Source organism: Homo sapiens, chromosome 9 (genome assembly GCF_000001405.40).
Source record: "Homo sapiens chromosome 9, GRCh38.p14 Primary Assembly".
Classification (NCBI taxonomy): domain Eukaryota; kingdom Metazoa; phylum Chordata; class Mammalia; order Primates; family Hominidae; genus Homo; species Homo sapiens.
Window position 1 is genome coordinate 77,445,711 of NC_000009.12, and position 10,938 is coordinate 77,456,648.

Below are 10,938 nucleotides of genomic sequence, written 5' to 3' on the forward strand. Positions count from 1 at the left end.
CAGCCTGGGCAACAGCGAGACCCCATCTTTAAAAAATATATATTTGTTTGGGCCAGTTAATTGTACGTGCCCAGGGGCCATTAAACGTGGTCATGTTATGTGGGAAGATAGAGTTTTCTGTCCCTGTCACCATCTTGTTCACTGTCTTGTTCCTTCCCTTCCTCCTCTAGTTGACAGAGTTCTCTTAGTTCTTTAGCACATAAAAATTGTTTTATCACTGACAGTCCAACTTAGCAAGAGGAATATCTCTTTTGTCTGTGCCTATCTTCAGAATCTGCGGAGCCTGCTGCTGGGAGGACGACAGGGTTTACTCCCAATTTTCCAGTGACCAGGGCCCTGCTGGGGAAAAGGCGGGGACTCTGCAGGGAAAGGCAGAGGGCAGAAAACGTGAGTGACCAGAGCGGCAGGGCTCACGGGAGCTCTCAGACCAAAAGACCCCTCCACAGAGAAGTAACAAATGCTTTGCCCCACCTGTGGGCTTCCTGCAGTGGCACAATCAGCTGTGAGAAATCTCATTCTCTTTCTGGTGTTGGGTTATTTTCACGGCCCTTCCAGACAAGGAAGCATTACCAAAGGCTTGCAGTAATTCAACAAAACACCAGCAAGGCTTCAATTTAAGAACAGGTTGGTTTCAGAAACTTACTTGTACACTTGGTTATTGGGAGCTCAAAGTATTTTCCCACTAAGCCAGGATGGCCGCGGGTCCAGTACATCCTATTTTGCTTTCTTCCTGGGCTCGCGAGTCATGCTGTGTCTCTCAGCCTTCCTGGCAGTGAGGTGGACCCGTGTAACTGAGTTCTGAGTGAGGGAATTCAGGCTGAAGCAATGCATGCCATGACTGGGCCTGACCTCCAAAACCTCCCATGCAATCCCCCTCCATCTTTCTTTTCCCATTTCTCAGGTGAGGGAGAGTGAAGGAGAAGGGGTGGGGGGAGATGCTCAAGGTGATGGGGATCTGGATTTTGAATGACTGTGGAGCAGAGCCCAAGTGCCACACCCCCACCAACTTATACTGGATTGACACGGATGTGACTACAAAATCAACTTCATTTTGCTAAGCCACTGAGGTTGTGGTACTGGTTGACTGTTTTAACTTTAGTAAATTTTACTTTATACAGCCAAAGAGAGAGAGATAAATGATGTTAGCATGGGAGGTTCTAGGCTAGCTTAAAGAAATCCATTTTAACCAGTACAGAGATGAACTATCACACCAAGTATAAATCCTGGCTACAAGTTTTGGTGCAGTTCATGTACAATTTTTTTTTTTTTTTGAGACGGAGTTTCATTCTGTTGCCCAGGCTGGAGTGCAATGGCACAATCTCGGCTCACTGCAACCTCTGCCTCCCGGGTTCAAGCAATTCTCCTGCCTCAGCCTCCCGAGTAGCTGGGATTACAGGCACACACCACCACGCCGAGTAGAGATGGGGTTTCACCATGTTAGCCAGGCTGGTCTCCAACTCCTGACCTCAAATGATCGCTGACCTCGTCCTCTCAAAGTGCTGGGATTACAGGCGTGAGCCACCATGCCCAGCCTCAATGTACAATTTCTGTAAAAGCTACTTATCTGTTATATATCCCTTTCTGCCACCCTACCTCACAGTGACTCTCTCTTCAAGGTCCCGTTTCTCAGACCCAAACTACAGTACTGCTTCTTATACATAAACTTTCTAAGACTGCGAGCACTAAGACCTCCTCGTTCCTCTCTTCCCCAATCAAAAAGTGCAGGTACACCAGACAGGAGGCTGTTAGCCCTGGAGAGAATTCTATTTCTTTTTCAGTTTCTTTCCTTTATCCAGATCTGAGCCCAGACATGGTATTATTAGAGAGGACAGGCTAATGACCCCTGAATTTCAGTGCCTTAACAGCACAGGTGTATTTTACAACCCTTCACAGTCCATTATGAGGTCATAGTAGGGGTGGGGAGGACTCTCCTCCACAGAGTTATTCAGGGATCCAGGCTCACTCCAGCAAGTGAGTACACCAACTTGAAGGGCCCTGGAGTCCTTCACTAGATTATTTGCACCCAGTCTGCAGGGGAGGGAAGAGAGCATGGAGCAGTGTTCAGGAAGTCTTATGGGCCAGGTCTGGACATGGTGGACTTTGCCTCTGGACACAGCTCATTGGCCAGATTTAGTCACAAGGCTCCCGCTAAGTGCAAGGGAGGCTGGGAAATGTGGTTTTCCCATGTGTTCAGGTGGAAGGTGGAATGGGATTTGGTGAATGGAGAGCATGCTGTCTACCACTCACAGAGTCTTGAAATCTCTTTATCTTTTACTACATTGGTTTCTAACATTTGTATGATGCCAGTGTATGCTTTCATGTAGATCAGGGTAAACTGCAGCTGATGGGCCACATCCAGCAGACTGCCTGTTTTTGCTAATAAAGTTCTATGGGAAGACAGCTATGCCTTGTGATATGATCTGCCTGCTTTCAAACCTGCAACAGCAGCATCAAGCTGTTGAGACAAAACCAGTATGGTCCACCAAGGCTAAATCACGTACTATCTAGCCATTTACAGAAAATGTTTGCTGACCCTGCTACAAACAGTCCCCAACTCATGATGGTTTGACTGAACGATTTTCTGACTTACGATGGTGTGAAAGCAGTAACCATTCAGTAGAAACCATATTTTGAGTATCGAATCATTCTGGTTTTCATTTTCAGGTCGGTGTTCGATAAATTACATGAGATATTCAATTCTTTATTATAAAACAGGTTTTGTGTTAGATGATTTTGCCCAGCTGTAGGCTAATGTGTTCTGAGCGCATTTAGCAGGCCAGGCTAAGCTATTCTGTTTGGCAGTTTAGGTAAATTAGATGCATTTTTGACTTTTGATATTTTCCATTTAATTTATGATGGGTTTATCAGGACATGATCCCATCATAAGTCTAGGAGCATCTATATAGTCTGATAATTCGAATTAAATGCATACAAGTAGCGTACTGCTGCAGCCGTAATTCCTAATTCATTCATTCATCAGGCATGCGTGTATGCAGCACCCATAAACTCTTTGCCAGGCATTATTCGAGGTAGACGTATGCAACTATGAAAAAAATATTGTCTTTATGCTCAAACTTCTAGTCTTTTTAAGAATGATGGTAAGAAGTGTGCAGAGTGTGGAAAAGGAACTTTTTAAAAATGTATTTAATTAGTGTAAAAAGCAAGAGAATCCCACCTAAGCAAATTTCCCCACTCTTCAGAAGTCTTAAACGGCAATTCCCAGAAATAATTTAGATTGTGGACCTGCCCCAACTGGAAGCATGTATAGCCATCCACTGCATAATGACATTTCAGCCAACAGCAGGCTGCATATACGATAATGGTATGATAGGATGTAAGATTATAATGCAGCATTTTTACTGTATCTTTTCTATGTTAAGATACAGTTAGATACAAAAATACCATTGTGTTACAACTGCCTACAGTGTTCAGTACAGCAACATGTGGCACAGGTTTGTACCTTAGGAGCAATAGGTAACCCAGGTACCTAGACCTGGTAGCCCAGGTGTGTAGTAGGCTAAACCATATAGGTTTGTGTAAGTGCACTCCATGATGTTCACACAATGATGAAATCACCTAACTTTACATTTCTCAGAGGGTATCCCTTTGTTAAGTGATGCGTGACTGTATGTAGTAACATTAAATAAAATGCCACCCAGTGGAAAATCTTAGAATTGTTCTGATTCCCATTAACAGAATTTTCCCCATTTCTTTTTTCTTCTTTATAACTTCCTTAAGCAAGCCATGTTATCAAGTGCTAGTTCCCCTGAGGTTCAATATCGTATTGTTTGTTTTTACAAAGTCTATGCCATGTCAATCAACCAGTGGCCAGACGTTTCTAGAGAGCCTGAAATCCAAGACAACTGTGGAAGGACAGTCCCTACATTCTCCCTGGGGCGCTGCTGACTTTTAAGAGAAACCAGTGGCCTCCCCAATCTTTGAAAAAGGCCTCGTCAAGGCAAATCCAAACAAATTCTCCCCCAATTCCCTGTCAAACAGGTTTCATACTCAAACCCCAATGCAAAGGGAAGGGAATGTTAGATTCATTAGTTTAACACCAGCTAGGCAGGTATAGCCGAGGCTGAGCTGAAGAATAAACATTAGGAAATAAAGTTCTTTGATGGCAAAACGCCAGAGCATAATCTCCCTCTTGAGAACCCCTCCTTAGGCCCAGGCCTCCTTCTAGACATTCCCTGTGTGTGCCTCACAGTGACTCAGACCCCTACCGCCTCCCTGCTCAGACAAGAACCTTAGAAACAAAGAGAACATGAGGAATTGGCGGTAGTTCATGGTACCGGACAGACTGGAAGCTGGACCTGGGCCGAAGGACATTTGGAATTCTGGGATTCCGTGGGCTTATGCATCCTCAGGGCATTTGTCCCAGGGCTGCAGGATTCTGGAGCTTTGGCATTCTGGTTGCCGGCTGGTGGGACTAAATAAATTGCCCTTTTCTGTCTCCACTCTGAATTCTTCATGGTCATGGTCTTGACTCTTGATTTACAAAATGGGATACACCAAAGCAAGATGAGGGGGCTGGCTCTGCCTGTGACTACACACTTCTGTTCCCTGGGGCTTGTGGTCAGCCCCAGCAAAACATCAAGTGCTCAGCCTTACCCATGCACAGGAGGCTCTTAATAAAGGGCAGAGACCGTAATCCTCATCTTCATCCATCTCCCTCTGACCTTCTTAAGTGCCTGGGGGCTTACATGCCGCATCAAAGGAATGAAGAAATCTTGCCGATTCTCATCATTCATGATTCCATATTTGTGAATTCACCTACTTGCTAAAAGCTACTTGTCACCTCCAAATCAAACTGACGGCACTTTCACAGTCATTCTCCAACGTGTACAGAGCAGCAAAAAAAATCTAAGTCACCTGATGCAAATGTTTCCATCTGAGATCGAACAAGCTCTGGTGCTGTTAAAATTATTCTTCCTATGGTCTATCTAGTGGCCCGTGTAATTTTCATCCTTTTTTTGGTGGCGATTTTGCTAAGATAGCACTTGATATGGTTTGGCTGTGTCCTCACCCTAATCACATCTTGAACTGTAGCTCCCTTAATCCCCATGTGTCGTGGGAGGGAACTGATGGGAAGTAATTGAATCATGGGGGTGGGTTTTTCCCGTGCTGTTCTCTTGATAGTGAATAAGGCTCACAAGATCTGACGGTTTTATAAAGGGCATTTCCCCTGCACACACTGTCTTGCCTGCTGCCATGTAAGACATGCCTTTGCTCCTTCTTCCCCTTCCACCATGATTGTGAGGCCTCCCCAGCCACATGGAACTGTGAGTCCATTAAACCTCTCTCCTCTATAAATTACCCAGTCTTGGGTTTGTCCTTATAGCAGCATGAGAACAGACTAATACGGCATCTGAGTATAGTGTGACCATAAGAATGTGACGGCCCTATGGGGAACATACGTGTGTCAGACTAGCTTCCTTCAAGAGGACTCAAGATATAATCTCAGCTCATCCCCTAGTAGGGAGCTTTCGATGAATTTATCTGACCCTAAGCCCTCAGTTTCCTCATTGGTAAAATGAGGAGGGGAGGTGGGGGTGGTCTTTTCAACATTAGCAGTCTCTAGCTAAAGAACGTATTTTTTAATTATAAAGCTTCATAAATATTTGTTGTTGTGGACATTCTTTTTTCAAAGTATAAAGGCAAACACAGCCACTGTAGTCACTCTTTTTAGAGTGCTCTAAAGCAATCATTGTAACTATACTTAGCTGAGGATGTAAAGGAATGCCACTATTGATAAAGAGGTCTGTTCCTGGGATCCAGGGTGAGGCTATTCTAGGATGGCCCTGAAAATCTTGAGGATGACCAATGTGTAGGTCCGTCTCTCTTCTGTGAATCACACATCCTCAAAATAACCAGGAAGACAGCCTCAAAGGCAGTTATCCCCAAAAGATAATATTGCCCCAAACTTTTTTCTCCCTTGTCACACACATGTTCATTAGTCACCCTGGGACTCTGGACCACAGGTTTTTCCAGCTTGGGTGGACAAGCCAACGTGCAGCAAAGCTGCTCAGCCACTCTCCCAAGCAAGAACCCGAGATTCTTTGTTGTAATCAGGTGCATAAGGAAACCTGTTGGGGTCAGTGCAAAGTGTCTCTCTCCTCAAGCATCTCAAAGTTACACAGACATTTAACCAAGTCTCCTATTTCCTGTCAAAAAATCCCAACCGAGCAACCAGACGAGCACAGGTAGGTGGTGAGTGACAGATATTTGTGCAAAAATTAGATGTGGTCTCGTGAAGTCCCCACAGCCCAGGAACATTTCACTCAATCTAGTGATGTCCATGCTCACTATGTGCTGGTCTCACACCGCATCCCAGGGGAAGCGGATATAACTCCACAGAGGCTGACTTGAGAGACACGATCCAGTAAGAGGCTGGACTGCTTGATCCAGAACCCCGTAGAAATACACTGGTCCTGTCAGCAGGTCTGAGATAGACGTGTAGCCAAGTGACAAGCTCCAGTACAGCCTTAGGATTCACCAAAGTCACCCCTACTCATGTGACGTGTGAGGCAGACAGATTTGCCTTTAAGTAGCAACAAAGAATATCTGCACTCCAGATCTTGGTGGAGAATTTAGTCTCTCTGCCGCCTAACTCTTACCAAATTTTGAAACAAATGGTATCTATGGATGATTTTCCTGAAGTACATTCAGTCCAGCGATGCCTTTATAAGCATTTTCCAGAGTGGTACATTAAACAAAACACTACTCTACAAAACGTGGTACATATCCTTAAAAAAAAGTTCCTTGATCAAATTAGTTTAGGACAAAGTCTGAAAAAGTTACCCAAGTTTTCTAGTTAACTGCAGAACTGCACACAAGTGTGTGTGTGTGTGTGTGTGTATGTGCATGTGTATGTGTGTGTGTGGTGTGTATGTGTATGTGTGTGTATGTATATGTGTGCGGTGTGTGTGTTTGTGTTTGTGTGTGTGTCTGTGTGGTACATGTACCCCTTAGGGCAGGGATCTGCTGTGGTCTGAAAGTTTGTGTCTCTCCAAAATCCATACGTTGAACTCTCATCCCCAACGTGGAGGTATTAAGGAGTGGGGCTTCTGAGTGGGGACTAGGTCATGAAGGTGGAGTCCTCATGAATGACTTTGTGCCCTTTTAAAAGAGGTCTGAGCTGGGCACATTGGTTCATGCCTGTAAGCCCAAGGACACAGGAGGCTGAGGCAGGAGGACTGCTTGACGCCAGGAGTTCAAGACCAGCCTGGACAACATAGCGACATTCCCTCATCCCTAAAAACAAATAAACAAACAAGTAACCAGCCGGGTGGTGTGTGTACCTGCAGTCCCAGCTACTTGAGAGGCTGAGGCAGGAGGATGGCGTCAGCCCAAGAGTTCGAGGTTACAGTGAGCCATGATTGCACCACTGCACTCTAGCCTGGGTGACAGAGCAAGACCCTGTTCCTGAAAAAATAAAAAATAAAAATAAAAAGAGGCCTGAGGGAGCTTGTGTGTCCCTTCCGCCATGCGAAGACACCAAGAAGATGCCATCTCTGAGGAGCAGACTCTCACCAGACAGCACATCTGCTAGTGCCTTCATCTTAGACTTCTGCAGACTTCCCAATCCCCAGAACTGTGAGCAGTAAACGCTACTCTTTATAAATTACCCAGCCTAAGGTATTCTGTTATAGCAGCCTGAATAGACTAAGACAGATATTAGTCTCTTTTCTTCATTAATGTACTCCCACGTGCCTAGAATGGTGGTTCGCACATCAATATTCTTTGAATGAATAAATGAATCTTACCTGAAAATCTTTACATTCAATAAATACTGACAAAATACAATGAAGTCAAGGAGCAATATGCATTAACAAAATGCAACAGTTCATGAAAATGTGTAACTATGCGCACCAAACTCTTAACCATTCAGTCACTTAGAAAGATAATCCACATGTGTATGGCTTAAAAACAACAGCAAGAACAGCCCTGAAGCTACAACAGGATTCCTTCAACAAATGCAGCATTTAGTGAGAATTTATGGAACTGAGCAAACCTGAGCAATCATAAGCCTGCAGCCACCACAACAAATACAGCAACATGGAGTGGGGAGGCCCGAACACAGCACAGAGCTTTTGATATGCTAGTTTTATTATGAGTTTCCAAAGAGCAGCTTTACGATACACTACTTGCCAAATACATATAGTTCAATGGCAACTGGGGATCCATTTTCTCACAGGATAAAACTGCTCAGACTCCAGCCGATTCCATAGCTTGTAAAAGTCAGAAGTCTTGCTGCAGTTTCTGCTAATGCTCAGAAGTGAAAGCTTCATGATTCAGTATCTCTTCTCATTTGCACAGGCACAAAGCTCAGGCTCCTCGCCCGCTCCGTGCAGCATCCGATCTCTTCAAAATCTTGGATTTCACAAGGAAGAACCGCATTGCCCAGCCTTCCACTACCTGCGTAGTTCCACCCCACACCCCCGGCTCCCCTCTTTCTACTTCTCCTGAAGCTTTGGATTTGGTGGTTCCAAAGTCTTCACCGTTTCTTACAAAAGTGACTTCCCCTTTCCTCTAACACTAAGACATAAAGGAGGAAGTCTCAGATTCTACCCCTAAACTTGTCAGTCTGATCTACTTCTGTGAACCCCCTTTGTTTTTGGGTGGCCCATTATCCATTCTCTCTCCTTCGGGTTACAACTGAGCTTGGGAGGATAACCTTTCGCTCGCTGTGTGCATCTTGGCACACCTGTTAATTCAGGTCTCCTGCTCTCCTGTGGCTAAGTGCCAGGCCACTCAGACTTTGCTGAGCTGTTGAACCTTGAGGGGAGTTATCTGATAATAGTGGGGACGGGGAAAAGGAACAGATGAAATTCTTTTATTTTGGTGGCAACTGGCCATCAGGATTTTTTTTTTTTTTTTTTTTGGAAGTGAGACCCCTGGAGTTTTCAGGTTCCTGTCCATTCTGAGACTGTTTCTTTAGCCTGCTCCTTGATTCCATGACCTCACTATAGCCTTTCCATAAACTCTCTTCTGCAAATGTGAGTCAGTTTATTTCTGTTGCTTACAACCCAGAAACCTGACTCTCTGCCCCACCAGTAGAGCAAAGGCCTTTCTAATGCGAACAGTCAGGGTCAACGAAAAAAGTTGTTTTGCTTTTAATGTGACACATATATTAGCATCTCCCATGAATGTTTAGTTTGGGAAATGCCCTAGATGTTCTGGATTTTATTTCTGAATCTATTCAAAGGCTGTGGATTCCAGCCATATGGTTTGCATTAGTTTTCTATTGCTGTGTAACAAATTGCCACAAACTCAGCAGCTTGAAACAATACCTTTTGATGATCTCAAAGTTTCTGTAGGTCGGAAGTCCAGGCAATGGTATAACTGGGTTCTCTGTGCAAGGTCTCACAAGGCTGAAATCAAGATGTTTGCTGGCTGTGCTCTCATCCAAGCTCATTCAGGCTGATGGCAGGATCCAGGTCCTCAGGACTGTAGGACTGAGGTCCCTGTTGTCTCATCAGCTGTCACCTGAAGGTCTCTCTCAGCTCCTAGAGGCTGCCCTCAGTTCCTGGCCATGTGGCTCTCTCACAGCATGGCAGTATCCTTCTTCAAGGCTAGCAGAGACTCTCCTTGAACTCTAGATCTTCTTTAATGGGCTGATTAGGTCAGAACACCCAGGATTATCTCCTTTTGATTACTTAAAGCCACTGATTAGGGACTTCATTACATCGGGACTTCACTTTGTATATCCCATAATCTAATCGTGGGAGTGACAGCCAACACTGTCCTGCCCACACCCAAAGGGGAAGAGATTATGCAGGACGTGTACACCAGGGGGCGTGAATCTCAGAATTCTGCCCAGCACATGGTCTTGTTCCCAGTTCTCTGGGGAGCAAAACTACCTCTTACTTTTCCCTCGGCTTATATTTTTAAAGTGTCTACGATACCTCATATAGGGTTATTGTTAGGGTTACTGTCTCTGTTCACATGATGCCCCACATAAGGAATATATATTCTTGGAGTTAAGAACCAAGACCCCTTATGCTTCGCTGAGAGACTGGTAGGTTTTGCCTTGTGGTCCATAGGAATCGCATGAGTGAACCTGATTCTCTTTTCACTTTAGCTAGTGGGAAGCTCAGAAACAAATATGTGGCTAAGTCTAAGTAACTGAGTAGAAGTTTATGAGTACTTGTATCTTACAATACCTGTGTTTCATTCCCCCACAGGCCCCTGCCCAGCCTCACTCTTTCATTTTAATTCAAAAACTTTTCTGGCACTGATTACTATTTTAAGGTAGACAGTCTTATAAGTAGCCTCTAATGTGTTGTATAAGGAAATAGGGTATACATAAAAATGAAATAAAATAATAATAATAGCTAATCTAAACTGAGCCATTATTGTGACCACCTAGTATAAGCATGATCATATATGATCTTTACAACCACTCCAGGAAATAAGATACTTTAATACCCTTATTTAATAGATAAGGAAACAGATGAGGCCTAGAGAAGATAAGAAGTAGTACCAGAACAACCATTCAATTCCAAGCGTGCCTGACCAACAGAGCCTAGGCTGTTAACCATCACACCCTATTGATTTAAATACATTTACATTTTAAAGGAAGGAAAGAGTGGGGACAGTTGGCTGCCTGTGCAACTCTCCAGACTAGAAAGAGACCATTACACATGTTGTAAAGCCCAGAGGAATAGTTTTCTGCACATCTTGCCTGGCAAGTGCTCTTCTACAATGTAAAACAAACTTCTCTGAAGTACAGAACTTGGTAATAGCTAAACCCCGCTTGAAAGTAGAAAACGAAGTTCCAGAAATAGAAGAAGGGCTTGGAAACAAGTAAGTAAGCATTTTCCTTGGTAAGTTATAAACAGGTGTAAGAGAATATCTGACACCAAGACCCAAAAGCACGATGTGACTGTTTCCATATGGAAGACTTGCTAATATTCACCGTGGAACTGAGGA

The 10,938-nt window shown here is 44.2% G+C and overlaps 1 protein-coding gene and 1 long non-coding RNA gene across 3 annotated transcripts in view, besides 1 other annotated feature; one reads left to right on the forward strand and one right to left on the reverse strand.

The window, feature by feature from the left end:
- Window positions 1-10,938, reverse strand: part of GNA14 (G protein subunit alpha 14) — a 225,244-nt gene that overhangs the window by 22,632 nt on the left and 191,674 nt on the right. The window contains exon 1 of one of the 2 annotated variants that reach the window (XM_047424110.1): window positions 1,594-6,968. The exons of the other annotated variant lie outside the window; for it this stretch is intronic. The gene's annotated coding sequence lies outside the window, so the exon portion shown is untranslated. Of the gene's footprint in view, window positions 1-1,593; window positions 6,969-10,938 lie in introns of those variants that run through there. 2 annotated transcript variants of the gene reach the window in all.
- The window catches only part of GNA14-AS1 (GNA14 antisense RNA 1), a 79,114-nt gene continuing 70,114 nt past the window's right edge, over window positions 1,939-10,938 (forward strand). Inside the window, exons 1-2 of the long non-coding RNA NR_121184.1 lie at window positions 1,939-1,971; window positions 10,585-10,812. This is a non-coding gene — a long non-coding RNA (GNA14 antisense RNA 1). The remainder of the gene's footprint in view (window positions 1,972-10,584; window positions 10,813-10,938) is intronic.
- Window positions 9,684-9,803: an enhancer, noted in NCBI's record as "active region_28483". NCBI's record gives its function as "activates an Ori minimal core promoter by ATAC-STARR-seq in GM12878 lymphoblastoid cells {active_cell/tissue: GM12878}" and the evidence as "EXISTENCE:reporter gene assay evidence [ECO:0000049][PMID:35858748]".